Consider the following 19,040-nt stretch of genomic DNA (forward strand, 5'->3'; position numbering starts at 1 on the left):
TAGTAGGTATTCATTGACTTTGCTGGGTAAATGAAAAGTTACCATTTATTGTGCAGATATGAGGCGCTGGGCAGATGCAAGGTGCTCTATGTGTGTTTTCTCATTTGCTCTTTACCATAACCCTCGGGGGTAGAGTTTACCCCCATTTTACAGCCCCATTTACTAAGGCTCACAGAGGTGACATGACTTACCCAGGGCCATCCAGCTAGTAAGTAGGAGAGCTGGGATTTGAACTTTTACCTTTCTGCCTCCAAAACCCAAAGTCTATATGCCCCTCTTTCGCAGCTCAGGGAGGATGTCTCGAGCCCGGGCGTGTTGTACCCACAGGTATCTTACTTACATCTGCTCACTGTGCCATGTCAGCACCGCCTGTTCCAAAGGCAGATTCAATGTTGCTTAGGCCGGCCAGGCACGGTGGCTCACACCTGTAATCCCAGCACTTTGGGAGGCCGAGGTGGGTGGATCACTTGAGGTCAGGAATTTGAGACCAGCCTGGCCAACATGGTGAAACCCTGTCTCCACTAAAAATACAAAAATTAGCCAGGCGTGGTGGCACATGCCTGCAATCCCAGCTACTCTGGAGGCTGAGGCAGGACAATCTCTTGAACCCGGGATGCAGAGGTTGCAGTGAGCCGAGATTGCACCATTGCACTCCAGCCTGGGCAGTAAGAGCAAAACTCCATCTCATAAAAAATAAAAATTAAAAAAAAGATTGCTTAAGGCCTGTCTGCCTCTCTTTCAAAGGGGAAATCCCTCAGCTTCTTTAAATAAATTCAATCCTGCCAACTAGAGATGAGGGTTGATTAGATGAGATTGGGGGAAGAAGCCCTCCTTCTCAATGAGTGGTCCAGAAACCAGCAGCATGGGCACCCCATGGGAGTGGTCAGAAATGCCGACACCGAGGGCCCTGAACTGCTGAGTCAGGCTCTTCTAATGATCCCTAAGTGGTCTGCACACACATCATGCCTTGGAGAAGCCCTGCTGTGAGGCACCCACGCAGATCCAGACACTCACTGACCATGGTGGGAGGTGGCACCTATTTTATTTTTATGATGAGAGGGAACCTCAAACTCTACTGTGATGTAAGTGGTCTCAAAGGCCCTTTGAAGTCACCATTTTATCTAAATCAGAAATAGGAAAAAAATAAGAAATGGCCAGCTTAGAAAGACTCAAATTCTTTTGCGGGGGGAAAAACCAGGAAGAAAGAAAAGAAAAATACATTGTTTCCTTGGCCATCTGTGTGAAGAAATAACAAAACCACCGTTGACATACCAGCAGGAAAGAACACTGGAGAGCTTCACTTGACAGAATTATTACAAACGCCTCTTCCTGGTTCAGGGGGAAAAAAAATTCCAAATAGGTTTGTGATATTTTTTTCCCTAGCATGCTTGCAACTCCCAGTAGAGCCAATAACCAGTTTTCAAAACCTTTTGATTCTACTCATCCCCTGGTTAATAATTTCCAGTTTACCCAGCAGGCTACGTAACATCCCCTTTCCTGGGAAAGAATTTCTGTGCCCCGGCTGGCAGTGAACTGGTCCCCTTAGCAGCTGACCTCCTCCTCCAGCCCTGTGGCTGCCTCCTCTCCAACAGGGACCCTCCTGGTGGGTATCCGGAACAGTGCCTTAGTGTTCCGCAAAGGGGAGAGGGAAAAAGAGAGGGCTGTCTCCCAGAAGGGTGAGTCTCTTCTTTAATCATCTGGAGCTGAGAAGAATTTTCTCCCTGTTTCCTGGGAAATAGCTGATAAAGGACATTTTGTCTGCTGCTGTTTATGTATACCTAGGCCGAACAAGTCTCAAAACTCTACCCTCTCCTGCCCCCTCCGGAGCTGGTACTTTGAAAACATAGGACAATAATGAAAGCCAAGAGCAGGCAGCCTGATATGGGCCTGGCACCCCATCTCCTGTTTCCTCCTGCCCGCTGCTGCAGCCGGCTTTATGCCAGCTGCAGCCACCAGGGACAGGTTGGCTTCTCCACCCTTGATGGCCCCGAGAAATATTTCTTTCAGGGCATGGCAGAAGGGGACTTTGGGGAAGGTGGGACCCTCCCTGCAGCCAATAGCACGGGCCCCGTCCCTCCCCCCATGCAAATCTTTGGCCAGCAGCCTTGGTATCACCAAACCTTGCCGAGATAGGGAGTGCCATGAAGGGCTCAGTGAGTTTCTGGCAATCCTCTCCTCTGTTTATCTGAATGGGCCCAAAGGCTGCAAAACAAACCGGCAAACACCAGGGTGTTCCTGAGAGTATAGCTGCACTTCCTGTTTACAGGCTCAGGGTGAGAAGCCCCTGAGACCCATTCTGCCTGTGTCAATTTCTTTCTGCTTCCTCTGAGATCCGTGATGTGGGAGGGCAAAGGGTTTCCCTCCCGCCGCCTGGAAAAATAATATGCAGGCCGGGAACATGAGCTTGCCTGTGAAGGCTGCTCAAAACGACACACTTGCAATTTGGGGTTTGTGACTAAGGTTGATTCGATCCCAGGTCTTCTGGTCCCTCTGGGAGCATCTCAGACCCCGTGAGACAACCCACTTTGGGACTCAAGGGTGGTAGGGAGTGGGGAATGGGAAGGGCACCTGTAGAGGCATAAATTGCTGGGCCCTGCCACCCCACCCATCCTCACACCACTCTCGCCCCACCCAACCTCATCCCACCCTACTCATCACCCCCACCCTCACCCCCACCGTCACCCCACTCCACTTGCTGTGTGTCCCTTGCTTCCCATGCTTCCCTGTCCTGGACCACAGTGAAGCAGCTGGGAATTCCAAGCACAGGGCTTCCTACCTTCAGCACCAGTGGTGACACCAGAGGTGGATTCCAAGAATACCTGAATGACCTACAACACATTCTGTCCAGGCAGGAGGGGTGGTGGCACTGCCTCCAGGAGATGGCCGAGGTATCCGGGGGTTAGGACCCTCTAGTTTGTTGCAGGGATGTCACAGAGCCTTGCTACTGAAAGTGTGTCCAGGGACCAGCAGTATTGTCCTCACCTGGGAGATGGTTAGAAACATGGTCTCACACCCTGTCCCAGACCCACTGCATGTGAACCTGCAGTTTAGCAGACGCCGCAGGTGACTCCTGCACACATTAAAGTTGGAGAAGCGCTGCTTTGGAGGACCCGTCCCTCTGTCCTCATTATGAGGATGCCTGCGCTGACTTTGGACAGCTTGTGCTTTTTAAAATCTCGTGGGCATAAATGACTCTTTGTGACTGATCTTGTTTCTCTCTTTGCTAAGAAAAGCAGGTTTAATCTGATGTAAGTGTCAGCTTATTTGGCCTCCGATATGTGGCATGCCACATATCGGAGACCAAATAAGTATGTGCATAAGTGAAGGATTTCATAGCTAAATTCGATGTGCCCGACACCTGAAAATTCAAACACCAGAAGGGCCAGGCAGGTGACAAAGATGAACGAAGTGGGCTGGGTGGGCCAGTGAGGACTGGACAGCCAGTGACCTGGTGGAAGCGGCAGCAGCTACTCCAACCCAGCCCATTCTTGTCATTCAGGGACCAGGCTCAGGGTTGCCAGATCCCAATATCTTCAAGAGAAGCCTGAATTTGAATTTTTATGAAATCACCCAACATTGAAATATTGGCAATTAATTAAAACATTAAAAAAAAAAACCCAAAGGCCAGGCGCTGTGGCCCCTGCCTGTAATCCCGGCACTTTGGGAGGCCGAGGCAGGTGGATCACTTGAGGTCAGGAGTTCCAGGCCAGCCTGGCCAACATGGTGAAACTTGTCTCTACTAAAAATACAAAAATGAGCTGGGCTTGGTGGTGCACGCCTGTAGTCCCAACTACTCGGGAAGCTGAGGCAGGAGAATCGCTTGAACCCGGGAGGCGGAGGTTGCAGTGAGCCGAGATCACCCCACTTTACTCCAGCCTGGGTGACAGCCTAAGCCTGTGTCTCAAAAAAACAAAAAACCAAAAAAAAAAAAAAAAAAAAAGGAAAAGAAAAACAAAAAAAATCCCCTCCTATGTATGACCCAGGCTTTATCCTGAGACTATGGATAAAACTGTGAACAAGACAGACACAGTCCCTGCCCTCAAAGAGTATGCAAGCTGGAAAATGGGACAGAGAGACCAGGAAGGTGGGAATGGCATTTCCTCAGGGAGACCTGCCTGTGCAAAGGCCCTGAGGTGCAAACAGCACATTGTAGATGGGGAGCTACAACCAGGTCAGTGCTGGGGAGCTGAGTCATGATTGAAGGAGGGGTGGAAGATAAGGATGAAAAGGGAGGAAGTGGCAGGTGATAATGGCATGTACTGTACATGCAGTTAAGGAGTTTGAACTAGGTCCTGCAGGCCTGGAAGGGTCATGAGTATGAGGATGACATGGCTGGAACTCAGTTTTCCTCAATTCACACCAGCTAATGAGAGGGGGATGGATTTAATGAGTGGGGAGTTGGAAAAGTATTAGAAGTCCAGACAGCAGTCGGGGGAGACTTGGGCAGTGGCCCAGGAACAAGGTGGTGAAGGCCTGAACTGGGGCACTGTGCAGGAATGGGAGGCAGTTGTGCATTTGAGGGCTGCACAGGAGTTAAAATCAGCAGGATGTTACCTACTTGATGGGGACCATTGGGGAGGTGGGGGCAGCCAGAGTTTCTGGCCTGGATGCCTGATGGACAAGGATTGCGGCGGTTGGAGCGTCTTGGCGGGGGAGATGACATGCTCGGTTCTGGGCAGACTGGACTTGGGGCTTCCTTGAGCCCTCTCTGGAAATGAGATGCAGACAGCAAGGTACTGCAGTCTTACTCAGTGAGGGGGCAAGGGCCAAGCTGAAAACCAGGACATTCTGAAACACATTTCTTTTTAGTAATTTGCCCCAGCTTTGTGGCTTCTCCACCCTGTTCTCTTCTCCCTGTGAGTTCTTTGTTTTTGTGAGTTGTCATATTACAGTCCATGGATTTTTGGGCCAGCCTGTAAATGGGGATAACAGTAGGTTCCTCCTCGCAGTGCTAGTGAGATTAAATGAGATAATACACTAAAAGCACACAGCACGGTGTCTGGCTGTAGGAAGATCCCATGATCACAACACCACATGTAATGTTAGTGTCATCATCATTAGCTGTGATTATTATTGTGATTATTAACATTAGTTACCATTATTGTTGTAACTACGCACGGATATGACCTACGAGGCCTCCTGCCACATGTGGTCCTTAGTTGTGGCCTCTTTCCCTGCCAACCTCAGGCCCGCTTGTATCTGTGGGAGGCAGTGGATAGCAGTGTTTATGAGCATGGCCTGTGAAATCACAGCCTGCCTGGGTTCAAATGCCAGCTCCACTTCTTACTGTGAGAGTGACCTCGGCCAAGTCACTTCGTGCTTCTGAGCCTCAGGTAGTTTCCCCATCTGAGGAAGGGGAAGATAAATGTATCTTGCTGTGAAGATAAAATGAGATAAATTGTCAAAGTACTCAGTGCACTGCCTGGCAGATACCAGCTGCTCCTTTATCATGTGCTCTTACTCTCCAGGACACCATCACCAACCCATCAGGCTGGCATGCACTCTCAAATCTACTGCCCCTAGCAACAGGATGCAGTTCATGTTCACTAAAATGACTTATGAGCTGCTTGCAGCGGGCTGAGTGTTGACGCTGCTCCCTGCCACTGGAAAAAAAGATATGCCCACATCCAGATCTCAGGAACTCATGGATGTGACCTCATTTGGAAAAGGGGTCTTTGCAGACGTAATTAAGTTAAGGATCTTGAGATGCAGTCATCTTGGATTATCTGTGTGGTCCCTAAATCCAATGACAAGTGTCCTTACAATACACGCAGAGAGGAGAAGCCTGACAGGAGAAGCAGAGATAATGACTGGAGACAGGGATTGGAGAGATGCAGCCACAAGCCAAGGGATGCTAACAAGCACCAGAAGCTGGAGGAGGAAGGAAGGATTTTCCCCCGGAGCCTGCAAAGGGAGTGCAGCCCCGCCCACACTTTGACTTTGGACTTCTGGTCTCTGGAATGCTTCGATAAGAAATGGTTGTTTGAAGCTACCCAGTTTGTGGTAGTTTGTCACAGCAGCCACAGCAAACAAATCCAGTGCCCTCCACCCTTTTCACCCTGAAACCGCATGAGGACTGGGTGGAGTAGGCAGGCAGTCTTGGCCATCCCCATTTTAGAGAGGAGGGGACACTGAGGTTCAGAGAGGCAGAAGGAGCTGCTTGAGCCACATAGCCAGTGAGCTTCACCAGTGTCAAGCCTGGAACCTGGCTCTCCTGAGTCCTCCTCCATGCACTGTCCTTTCTGGAACATTCTGCCAGCCACCCTGCACCAGGCACTGGTGGCCTGTGAGCTGTGATTGTCTCTGTAACCAGGACAGGTTTGCAGGGTCCCAAAGCAGCTCCTCCCAATACCAAGCAAATGGCTGGTGGGCATGAGGGCCCATCTGAGAACATGGGAAGGAGCAGCTGTCACCGGGGATCAGGCCCGCCTGACTTCATTAGCACCCAGCTCCACTGCATAGCTCAAAGAGATGTCCCTTTCTTTCTTTCTTTCTTTTTTTTTTTTTTTTTGAGATGGAGTTTTGCTCTTGTTGACTAGTCTGGAGTGCAAAGGCACAATCTTGGCTTACCGCAACCTCTGCCTCCTGGGTTCAAGCAATTCTCTTGCCTCAGCCTCCCAAGTAGCTGGGATTACAGGCGTGCGCCACCACATCCCACTAATTTAGTATATTTAGTAGAGACGTGGTTTCTCCATATTGGTCAGGCTGGTCTCGAACTCCCAACCTCTGGTGATCTGCCCGCCTTGGACTCCCAAAGTCCTGGGATTCAGGCATGAGCCACTGTGCCCGGCTAGATGTCCCTTTCAATAATGGGGAACCAAACCAGAGGCAGTCACATCTGCTAGCGAAAGGTGCTATTTTGAATAACTTCAGGATAGATATTTGTAATGCAGACATACCTGGCAGTCTTACATTTTTTTCTATTAATACAACAAAGTAGGGTTTAACAAACATCAACAAGCAAATAAAAATAAATAAATACATAGGTAAATGTAATGGTCTTGTAATGGTTTGCGGCTGCATTTGCCTTCACTAAATGTCCTATCTGTTGTACATATAAATTGGTTGGAAGGCCCCATAGGGTAGGAGGCTCTCATTTATTGAGTGCTTAATATATGCCTGGCCTCACGCTTTCACCGGATGTCTCACTGAATCTCTATATCATTCCCATTTTTTTTGCACAAATTAAAGCACCAAGACTCGAGTGCATTGAGTGGCTCGTACAGGACCACACTGATAAGGAATAGAGCCAGGATTCAACCTGGGCTGGCCTGGTCTGAACCCAAGCTCATCCTTTGGATCTAAACCTTTGGTTCTCAAGCCTGGCTCCACACTGAAAGTCCCTGGGGAGGCTAACATAATCCTCCACCACTGCCACCCCAGGGGGTCTGAAGTAGCTGGCCAGGGATGTGGCCCCCGCACTGGGTTTTCCAAACCTTCCCAGGCGACTCAAATTTGCAGTCAGGGTGAAAGGGCCCTGCTTTAACCCCATTTCACAAGTTGTTGTACTGCTTCCTCGCTCAGAAAGCCAGGGAGCTGTTAAGAGCTGACGTTTCCTTCCTGATTTCTACTTTACTAATCCCAGGTTTCCACCTGTGAGGTAGGGAAGGGAAATATACCTGCGATCCCTTAAAAATGTTTTTAAAAAGACGGGATCGATGGAGTGTGAACTGTGACCTGGACTCTGTGCTAATTGGGCTCCCTGAATGGTTTTTAACTTCATTCTTACAACAATTCCTCATTTACAGAGGAGGAAACTGAGGCCCGGAGGGGTGGAGTCATTTGCACTGGTTGCAGAGTTGGTGGCAGCAGGATTCAGACTCAGGGTCTCATCTTCCCTCTGATATTGGTAACCTCTCAGCCCGCTGTGTGCTCACCAACACACACATCTGCCTGCGCATGTTCAATTTCTGTCTATTGAGGTTGTGACGTGGGCCTGAGAGGTGTCAGGGATGTGAGTGTGTGAAGGGTGAGGGCTGGGGGTCTCCACACCAGCCTCCAGGGCCCCAGGGCAGAGTGTGCTCAGCTGGACTGAGAAGGGGCAGGAGCTGGATGGGGCCACTGTCCATCCCTAAGACCGGGCTCCTCTCTCAGCAGGGTCGCCTCTGCCATCCCTCTGGGCCTATGCAGGTTTGGCTGCGTCAGGTGACCAGGTGTGTGGTGGGGGGGAGGATGTGGAAGAACAGAGCAACTCCAAACTCCTTTGCCATCACTAAAGGGCCCTTCCTGCCTTTAGTTTTAGACCGTTGTATTCAATGTGAAGGTTGTTGCTTATAACAGGATAACGGTCATTTAAAATGTTAAAAGTAAGCATATTACCATTTGTTGAGAGTTTGCTACATGTAGGAAGCAAGAATGAGCAAGTGGTAAGAGTCAACACTGTCTTTCCATCCTCATAACATGCCAGGGAGGACGGTAAAATTATGCCCATTATCCTGATGAGGAAAACTGAGGCCCGCAACTCACATTACTTTCTTCAGATAATTGCACAGCTAGGAAATGGCAGGGCTGTGATTTTTACCTGTGCTATTAAACATTTGCCAACTCTGCTGCAAAAGGGAGACTGCTTTTTCATCTGGCCTTGACTCTTCAGCCAGCCACCTTCCTGCCTATGCCTCCCAGCTTTGGAGAAATTATAGGTGTAGCCTGTGCTTTGGGTTTTGTGCAAGGGCTCGCAAAAGTATGCTTGCTGGTCTCACACCCTGAATCATAGTTTAGCATTTAAAGTTGGAAACAATCTCTGTGGTCATCTAAATTTAATCTTTTTGCTGGCAGTTAGGGAAACTAAAGCTCAGGAAGGAAAAGTTCTGGACTGGGGCTTGAACCCTGGTCTCTAGACTTTGCATCCAGTTCTTCATCTATTAGAAGCCTCCTAGGTTCATTCATTCATTCAATTATTCACTCATTCATTTGTTCAGTCCCTTGAGCAGCATTTCAGTGAGTTTGCCTATATCATTTCACTTGATTCTCAAAAAATAAAAACTCATGAGATCAGTTACATTGTAGCTGATGAGACAAAGATGCAGATGAGGAGACTGAGTTTCAGAGAGGTGAAGCAAGTGGTCCAAGATCCCAGCAGGCAAGTAGCAGAGGTAGAATTTGAAGCCAGGTCTTTGGAGAAAAGGGAGGCAGCTGGGGAGTCGGATGAGGCAACCAGTTGGAGCTGGGTAGTCAGGGCAGCCTTGGCCTTTGGTGAGCTTCGCCTCCATTTTGGGAGTGAGGGGTGAAGGAAGTCACAGGGCTAGAGTTGCAGGTAGGGGTTGAGCTGGGCTGGTGGGTGAAGGGAGGCCATGGAAACAGATATCCCTGATGTAGGACCATGAGAGGGTCGCGGGATGGCCTTCCTGAGATGCCTCCAGGCAAGAATCTGAGGAGACCACACTGAGCACTGCCATCTATGGAACCATACCAGGGCCCCATGGCTGGGCTCAGCACCTCCTAGGAGTGGCACCAGGTCTGCATTCATTGGGTAGGACTAGGGAGGGGCTCAGAGAGGAGGACAGGTGCAGTGACCTGGTGGTTCACATCCAGTCACTCCTACCTATTCCGAAGTGTTGAATTCACAGCATCGAAGGGCTTATAGCTTATCCAGATTATTGGGACCAGCATTTCCCAAAGTGTGTGTGTAGGGGGGGCAATAGATGGGGGTGATTACTTGGGGTCTGCGAGGACAGGGAGATGGTGCATAAGCCTGGTTCTAAATAACATGTTAAGCAGTGAGGATTGCAGTCCCTCTTCAGTTCTCCTTCAAGCCTGTGATCACGCAGGGAGAAGGGTCTCACCTGGGTGCTGGCGTTTCTTTAACACGTCCCCTAACACTTGCCAGTCTCCTTTCACCCACCCTCCAAGTGTTTAGGAAGGACCAGCCTCTAACTAAAGCCTGTAACCTTCCTCATTCAGTTTTCATTTTACTTCTACTGTTACCTTCTATCAGTGGCAAATGGTCCCAGCTCATTAATGACAGTAACATTATAAAGACCTCCTTTAGGTTAGTGATTTAGGTTTTAAGAGGTTGCTGTTTGGGAGACAAGTATTAAGTCATGAATGCTGCAGGCTTCCTAGGCTGTGGCAATGTTGTGGAATAGAAGGAAAGTCAGTGCAGGTGGGAGGCATTGAGCCTGCTGGCCCTCCACTCTGCAAATGGAGTGTAGAGACAGGGCGGGGTTTGCCCCGAAACGTGCAGGAAGCCAGTCCTCCAGGCTGCCAGCGGACACCTCCCCTACTACCTTTTTCTTCCTGAGGACCTGCAATGCCTCCCTCTGCACCCTCTGTCATTTACACACCTGGAAATGTGTCCTCTTTATCCCAGCCTCTTCAGACATTGCTGCAAGTTCTGATCTTGCCTCATACTTGAGAAGCCCTCAGTCTTTCGGCAGATGGCCTGCTGGCGTGTAAGCAGGAAGGTAAACGCCCCCAGTTTCCATCCCTCACAGCAGGCACCTGTCTGCCCTCTCACGGGACTCCCACTTCCTGGCCAGGCTGCTATGGAAATTCCACTCAGTGTCCAGAACTCACCTGTAGCCTCACTTTCTCTAGTACCATTTCCTGGGGCCCCAGGGTGAAGGCACCCCCGCTTTGCTCTCAGCCCCCTGCGACTCCCACAGCACTTCCCACAGGATAGCGTGACTATCTGGTTATGGGTCCATCACCCCATTTTATTGTGCACACCTTGAGGCAAGTACAGGGCCTTCCTTAATTTGACATTCCCAGGACCTGGGCCTGACCCGTGGAAGGTCCATGGTGAAGACTGTTGAACAGTAATAATAGTTGTAACAATTGCCATTCACTGAATACTCCTTGCATTAGACACTGCGTGATGGACTTTATTTATATTATTTTATTGAATCCTCATAGCAGCCTCAATAATTAAGATCAAACACTATCCCCATTTTTATGAATGAGGACACTGAGCTCAGAGATGTTTAGTATCTTGCTCAAGGACACTCAGTAAAATACAGAACTGAGGCTTGAAACAAAGCAGCTCTGGAGCCAGTGTTCTCAGGAAGCTAGGGGAGGTGCATGGGGCGGCCACACACACACACACACACACACACACACACACACACACGCGCGTGCGCGCGTGCTCATACACCCATACTGAGACTGGAGTGATGAATGCACAGGTGTCTTCCCTGCCTCTCCTCCCCCTCTGTTTGCTGTTTGCTCCCACAGCCTCTGTACCTTCCGGGCCCCTGGCTGTGGCTGCCTGTGGGTGCTGCCGCCCTCGCCCTGCAGGCTGGCCTGGCTGCCCACCGGGAGCCCATTAGTCAAGTCATCCTAGGCAGAATTATGCCTTCACCGAAATGATATCCAGGCCCAGCGGCTGGGCTTGTGTGCAAATTTGTGCTGATTTGATTAGTTTGTTTAGTCATCGCTGCTGATGAGAGCGGGCCACGGCCACCAAATGACATTCTGCTGCCTGCAACTCTGTAATCGCTTTTGGAAGGGATATTATGTTAATATCTCACACGAGAGTCTCCGATCATGCAGGACGATGGGCGGCCAGGCCTGGGCCATATGGTGCATCCGAGGCCCTCCTTTGTAATCCTGGGTAATTGAAATCCTCTGCCTTATTCAAACTTGGAAAGCCCACCATATGATGGGTAGCAGAGGGCCCTTTGGCAATTTACTTGCCAGTCCTTTTGGGGACTTTCTTTGGGGTATGATGGCAGTATGAGCGGAGATTTATGCCAGAGAAACTTGACCATTTTTAGAAACAAAAATCTCTGGCGCTGGGCGCTGTCGCTCATGCCTGTAATCCCAGTACTTTGGGAGGCCGAGGCAGGCGGATCACGAAGTCAGGAGTCGAGACCATCCTGGCTAACACGGTGAAACCACGTCTCTACTAAAAATACAAACAAAATTAGCGGGGCGTAGTGGCGGGTGCCTGTAGTCCCAGCTACTCGGGAGGCTGAGGCAGGAGAATGGCGTGAACCTGGAAGGCGGAGCTTGCAGTGAGCCGAGATTGCTCCACTGCACTCCAGCCTGGGTGACAGAGCAAGACCTTGTCTCAAAAAAAAAAAAAAAAAAAAAAAGAAACAAAAACCTCTGGCACCTGATGGTTTAAGAAGAAAACAATAACCACAACAGCAATAATAGTAACTTCTAGTTAGCAAGCAGTTCTAATGTTCCAGGCGCCCAGATCAGGGCTTTACATAAGCTGAGGTGCTTTAGGGCAATCTGTCAGTCAAGTATTACTCCCATTTGGAGGATGAGAAAGCTGAGCCTCAGAGAGACCAACCAGCTTGCCTGAGGCCACTGGCGAAAAGTGGAGATAACAGGACTTCTCCCTTGTTTGTCTGACCACAAGCCTTGCTATAGTCAGACTCAGCTTGCAGGGTTTTTGAGAATATCAACAACCCCCAGACAGCTACCACTTAATGCAGTGCTTGGCAAGCTTCAGCAAGTGTCAGAAATCCCTGGTGGTCTCATTAAGGCATAAATTGCTGGGTCCCACCCCCAGAGTTACTGATTCAGCAGGTCTGAGGTGGGACCCAGGAATTTGCATTTCTAACAAGTTCCCAAGTGATGCTGGTGCTGCTGGTCCCGGGATCACACTTTGAAGACCACCAGCCTAGCCGATCCTTACTGTAAGTCCAGTACTGCCCAAATAGGAGAGGTAGGTATCCTCACTTTCATCTTTTTTTTTTTTTTTTGACAGAGTCTCGCTCTGTCGCCCATGCTGGAGTGCAGTGGCGCGATCCTGGCTCACTGCAAGCTCTGCCTCCCAGGTTCACGCCATTCTCCTGCTTCAGCCTCCCGAGTAGCTGGGACTACAGGCACCTGCCACCACGCCTGGCTAATTTTTTTGTATTTTTAGTAGAGACGGGGTTTCACCGTGTTAGCCAGGATGGTCTCGATCTCCTGACCTCGTGATCCGCCCGCCTCGGCCTCCCGAAGTGTTGGGATTACAGGCGTGAGCCACCGCGCCCGGCCTTTCACTTTCATTTTTCTGATGAGGAAATGGAAGCTTGGATAGGTGAATTTGCTTTCCTAGTGTCTTTTACCTAGGACATAGGATGTGAAAGGAGGTGACTGTGTCCACAGCCAGAAAGTTTGTAAAACTAGAACTCAGCCCAGGTTTCCTGATTTACCATCCAAAGAGGTGGCCTCGGGGAGGTGGTGTTACATTTTAATTTTGCCTCTGCCAGAAAACTGGAGGGTGTGTCAATGCTCGTTCCTAACGGCTTGCCTCATGGTCCCGGGAGGTCGCTCACATTCTCCTGCAGGACTTGGTGTGGCCGGCATGGCTTGGGCCATGGTGGGCTCCTGTTGTGTGGACTTGCAGGGCAGGCCAGGTCTCGCTGTGAAGCTACCCTGTGCTTGCAGGCAAGGACACCAAGCTGGGATAGAACCCTGGGCAGGTGAAGAGCTGGGAGGTTTGGGGCCGAGTGCATGGGCTTTGCTCAGTTCCGCTGTCCAGGATACTGCATGCTCTGCAAGGAGGCAGGTGACTGCTAATTAGAGGTCCCCGTTCCTTACCTAATGGTCAAGGTCTGCCCAGGCTGGCCAGAGAGATAATCATTGTTCAACCTCCCTTTATTCCCCTCCCCTCCTTGCCCTCCACTTCCCAACCAGGTGAAAGAAAAAGAGACTTGGTAATTCACTGAGCATCACCCAAGACCGGGCGCAGACCTACACCCTGGCGTATAAAAGACGTAGTACTCACGTCATTCCTGTTTCACAGATGCACAGACTTACTCTTGGAGAGGCTCCTCCCAAAAGTCACCCAGCTGGTAAGTGGGACAGAGCAAGGACTTGGAGTGACACAGGCTAAATCCAGGCCTCTGTCCACTCCTCCGACTGCCTCTCTCCTCCCTGTCCCTTTCTTTAAGATGCTAAGGAGCATTTGTCAGACTCCTGGAGGAGAAATATTGTTTTCAGTGATTCCCAAGCCTATTTGTCAGTTGAAACTCATTTATTTTCTTCCTTCTTTTCTCATTTTTTTTTTAAGTGCAGAGTGCCTTTTGGGAATCAGATACTAGGGACTCAAGGACTCCTGGCTTGTCCCCTTGTCTCCAAAGCCCCATCCTCACAGCTCAGGCAGCTGGGTGCCTGTGGTGTGCTCACTGGGCTGGAAGCTCCAGACGGGGCAGGAGGGAGCCTGACTATTCTCTGCAGTGTGGTGGCCCCAGGGCCTGGTGCTTGATACACACACACACACGCACACACACGCACACGCACACGCGTGCATATACATATGTATGTATTTATATTTGTTTGTTGGTAGCAAATGTTTATTTCTTATAGCTCTCAGTAGCCAGAAGGGCCATCCTAAGCCAGCCAGTCTTGCTTGCTGACCTGGAGAAATAAATGCCTCTTCTGCCAGGTAGCTTGGAGCACAAGGGCATAGGTGAAAACACGGGCCTCAGGGGCCTCACCTCTGAGTCCCATTCTGCCCCCTCAGAGCTGCGAGACCTGGGGCAAGTCCCTTTCTTCTCTGGGCCACAGGTATTCTCATGGGCCTCCCTCCCAGGCTTTTGTGCCAATCCAGGAGGCATGCAAGCCTCTGGGACGGTGGGCCATCCCATGGAGGTGAGCTGCTGCTAGGCTGCAGCCTTCAGAGGAAGAATTTGAATTAAACAGGGAGAGAAGTCACACCACCTCAGGGAGCCATCTAAGTCTGTGTTGTCTGAAGCAGTAGCCAGTTTAGACCTGTGGCTATTTACTTTCAGCAGATAATTAAGTTAAATTAAGCACAGTTCCTTCTGCACAGTAGCCACATCACAGGTATTCGGTAGCCACATCTGGAGAGTGGCTACTCTATTGGACAGTGCAGATGGGGACATGTCCACCATGGCAAAGATCCCAATGGGACTGCACCAAGTCCCACTGTGTTGTCATGCTTATTGTTTTCATGTCCTAACACTGCTCATGACACATAGCCTAGTGGAAGTCCCCTTGGATCTGCTTTTTGGAGAAAGAGGGGAACATGCATTTGAAATCATCCACTACATGATTTTATTTGCTCCTACACTGATTGATTGATTGACTTTTGAGACAGGGGCTTGCTCTGTCACTAAGACTAGAGTGCAGTGGTGTGATCATGCCCACTGAACTCCTGGCCTCAAGCCATCCTCCAACCTCAGCCTCCCAAAGTGCTGGGATTACAGGCGGGAGCCGCTGTGTCTGATCACACCTAGTTTTCTTTTAGATGCAAATATCCAAAACACTTGCAGAGTTAGCTGAAATTGGTTAGGTGTTCTCTCACCCATCTTATTCTATCACTTGCTCTATAGCCCTTTCTTAGCACCTAGGAGCAGCCTGGACTTCAGCTCAGCCCAGCTCAGGGTAACAGTGTCCCACAGCGTTAGTGATGTCCAGACGAATGAGGCTTTTACTCTACTTCCTAGGCTGGTGCCCCCAGCGTCTAGACTGCATCAAGATCACAGGTTCCTCTCTCTCCTGAAGGACTGTCTGCCACGGGGGACTCCCTGCCATTGTCCCACACATGCTATCAAGGCAGAGGGTGACGAGCCCAGAACCCAATCCCCAGTTGACACTCTGTCCATGAATTTAAGTCCCCCAAAGAATGCCCCTAATGTCCACTAGAGCCCTCTACACGACCCTGTCAGCAGTGATGGATATTACATTTGTGTGTCTAGTTGGAGTTCCAATTCTGCCCCTGCAATGTATTAGTTGTGTGACATGAGCATGTGACATAAACTTTTTGAGCCTTGGTTGACCCTTCTGGAAAGCGAAGACTCTGTTATCTTGCTCACCATGTGGCAGTGAGTTCACGTGAGATGGTGCAGTGTTTCCAAACTTTTCTAGCCCATGTCCCTTTTGCTAAACACAGACATCTCTGCCTTCCTTGTGGAAGACTCCACCTTTCTATACCGCCCCACTGATAAGTATTTCATGCACATTTACCAGCCAAGAACACTTTGTCCAACTTTCCCACAATTTGTATTATGAAATGAAAGGGTTTTTTTTGTCTTCCAAAAATATGAAATTATGTTTTGATGCTGGCTCTGTTGTTCCGAGCTATACCCTTTTGCTTCCCCTCGCCTTCCTTATCTTAGTTCTAGTATACCCCCAGAAGATCACCCCCACATCACAAATGGAACAGGTGGGCAGTGCCCGGTGATGAGCTGCAGGTGACAGGCACTCACGAAACAGTGGGTCCCCACACCCTGCAGAGGAAAGGAGACCTGCAGGCAGACCCTGCAGCCATGGCCAGATGAAGGTCAATCCAAGTCTGGTTTCGAGTAGCACCTCTGCAGACCCGCAAGTGTAGATAAGTTCCTTAATATCATCTCATAGCTCTCTTCACTTTTTAAAAAAGTAGACCTTATTTTTTAGAGCAGTTTTAGGTTTGCAGAAAATACAGAAACTTTCAGTATATCCCCTCCGCCCACTATCCCAGTTGTCTGCCCCATTGCTAACCTCTTGCATTGGTGTGGTACATTTGTTACAATGGGTGAACCCATATTGATACACTATTATTAGCTCCAGTTCATAGTTTACTTTAGGCTTCCTTCTCTGTGTTAGACAGTTCTACGGGTTTTGGCAAATGCGTTGTCTCCACACCCATCATTACGGTACCATACAGAATTGTTTTTCTGCCTTAAAATTGCCCCTTGCTCCGGCTACGCATCACCCCCCTCCTTCTACCCTGGGCCCAGTTTTCTTCACTTTTTCTTCAGTGCATTTATTGCAGTTGTAAAGATCGAATTTGGAATTACTTGATTAAAATCGGCCTTCCCCACGGGACCGTAAGCAGCTTCACGAGGGCAACCGCTACGTCGGGCTTTGCCACACTGTGTCTCCTGGGCTTTCTCACAGTGCATGGCATATGTTAGTGTAAACAGTTGAACAAATGAATGAATGAATGAATGAGTGAATGAGAAGTGAAGTAGAGGCAATGAAGGAGGCTGGAGGAAGGAGGTGTCAGGGCAAGAAGAGGAAGCCTCACCCAAATCAACATTGCCCATCCCAGGAGCCTCCCTTTGAGGACAATGAAATGGCAAAGCAAAACTGTTCTGGAACCAAATGGCTGATAACCCACGCTGGGGTTATCCTGGCGGTGAGTGTAGCCCCTCCTTGCCCCATCAGGGGTGACAAGGACAGGAGCAGGGAATTGATGTCACCAGAGCCAGGCCCTGAAATGGCCTGACAAGGGCTCAATCCGTCACTGTCTTAACCGTCGTGACTTTCGGAGTCACCTCCAGATTTTTTGGCCCAGTAAATGATTAAGCAGTTAAATAAAGACAGGCTCATTAAGGAAACATGCTTCCCTGCATATCTGCCCCAGTTACTCCTAAATTTAATCTGTCCATGAGCCAATTTCCAGGACAAACGCGCACAGGCTTTTTTTTTTTTTTTTTTTTTTTAAATCTCCAGAGCCTTAACTTTGAAGGTATTCATTGGCCAAGGCTTATCCTGATGCCGGTCTCCCCCATCCTGTCTCCTCTGAGACTCAATGGAGGGGTTCCTTCCCCACACCCAGACAATCCCGTGGGGCCGCTGGAGAAGGGGCAGGGCACTCGTGGGGCCCATTTGCCAGCAGGCAGGGCCGGGCCCATGAAAGCACCCTTTCTTCTCTGTCACACGGCTGCTCCCAGCCACGGGGGGCTCTGGGGTATAATCGGATTGAGTTTCCTTGGCCAACAGGTTGGCTTTGTTCTCTTGTCCAGATTTTCATCCACTTGGCTCCCCAAGTTGCTGCTCGACCGCTCTCTGACCTGGATTCACTGAGGACACATCAGGCCTTTGCCACGGGCTCCATGGAGTGGCCGGAGCCCAGGGCTGGGTGAGTGTGGGGTGGGTCTGAAGGGGAGGACGTGCATCTAGAGGCCAGGCCAGCCCCTGCAGGATTTTCTGATGTCAAATCGCCTGTCCTGTGCCCGAGCCCTATCGCCTTAGCAGAATGAGGACACGTGCCTCCCCTGGGCCTCCCCACCGTGGCCTGAGTGAGTGTCTCTCCGGCTGCAGTGTTTGCAGTCAGCAGGTCAAGAGGGGACCCTCCTGCCCTGCTCCCATGGGGCTGCTGCTCCTTCTAGCAGTCCCAGCTTAACACCCACACTTCTTATACTGGTCCCAGGGCCCTCTATGGGTTAGGGTGTAGAAGGAGGTTGTGTTGGTTAAAAACACCAGGTGGAAATCTCTTTTCTCTGAATGCTGATGGAGTGCTGTTAGGGAGACAGTTCTTTTCAGTCTAGTTGGATCCTGGGTGAAGACTCAGGCCTCGCTCAAGAAGGGAGACCACCCATATGTGCTGTCACGTGTTTCCAGGGAGGAGGCTGGAAGTCCAAGATCAAGGTCCTAGTAGGTTTGGCCTCTGGTGAGGGCTCTCTTCATGGCCAGGAGCTTCTCCCACTCCTGGGCACAGATGGGCCCTGTTAGACTGTTGCCTTGCTCCCAATCAATCATGCCCCCTCCCACTGCCTCTGGGGTTGTGTCTGTGATGTCCTCTTCCTGGGGACAAATGCAGCTTCAGCTGCTATAGGCTGGGACTGTGGCCCTCCCTGCACCAGTCCCAGGGCCCAGCTTCCCCAGGCCACTAGCGTTGCTCCAGGAACAGTGTCCAAGTCAGTCCCGACTGCTAATAGAATCCCACGGACTGAGTGGCTTCAGGAACAGGAATTTATTTCTCACAGTTCTGGAAGTCCAAGATCAGGGTGCTGGCAGATTTGGCTCCTGGTAAGGGCTCTCTTCAGGCTTGCAGACAGCTGCCTTCTTGCTGTAACCTCACATGGTGGAGAGAAAACTCTGGTGTCTCTTCCTTTTCTTATAACGGCACTAATTCCATCATGGATCCCCCCACCCTCATGACCTCATTGAAACCTAATGACCTTTCAGAGGCCCCACTTCCTAATACTGTCACACTGGGGGTAGGGCTTCCACATACCAATTTGGAGACACACAAACATTTAGTCCATAAAAAATGGGCAGGTGGCCCAGACTAAGCTAATCACATCCTTTCCTGGGCCTGTCAGGAACCTTCTCTGGCTTTTGGTTTGTTTGTATTTTAAAATAGAAATAGGCAGATCTGTGAGAAGGTGAGGTGAGAGTTGCAGGCAGCCACCTACCTGCCC

At 50.1% G+C, this 19,040-nt stretch overlaps 1 long non-coding RNA gene across 1 annotated transcript, besides 2 other annotated features; it reads left to right on the forward strand.

The window, feature by feature from the left end:
- Positions 1-1,508: 1,508 nt before the first annotated feature.
- On the forward strand, positions 1,509-17,899 carry LINC01942 (long intergenic non-protein coding RNA 1942). The gene is made up of 3 exons (NR_146727.1): positions 1,509-1,603; positions 13,579-13,736; positions 17,640-17,899. It is a non-coding gene; the product is annotated as a long intergenic non-protein coding RNA 1942 (long non-coding RNA).
- Positions 2,145-2,224: an enhancer, noted in NCBI's record as "active region_23658". NCBI's record gives its function as "activates an Ori minimal core promoter by ATAC-STARR-seq in GM12878 lymphoblastoid cells {active_cell/tissue: GM12878}" and the evidence as "EXISTENCE:reporter gene assay evidence [ECO:0000049][PMID:35858748]".
- Positions 2,325-2,374: an enhancer, noted in NCBI's record as "active region_23659". NCBI's record gives its function as "activates an Ori minimal core promoter by ATAC-STARR-seq in GM12878 lymphoblastoid cells {active_cell/tissue: GM12878}" and the evidence as "EXISTENCE:reporter gene assay evidence [ECO:0000049][PMID:35858748]".
- Positions 17,900-19,040: the final 1,141 nt, after the last annotated feature.

The sequence above is a fragment of the Homo sapiens genome, chromosome 5 (assembly GCF_000001405.40).
Source record: "Homo sapiens chromosome 5, GRCh38.p14 Primary Assembly".
Taxonomy (NCBI): Eukaryota; Metazoa; Chordata; class Mammalia; order Primates; family Hominidae; genus Homo; species Homo sapiens.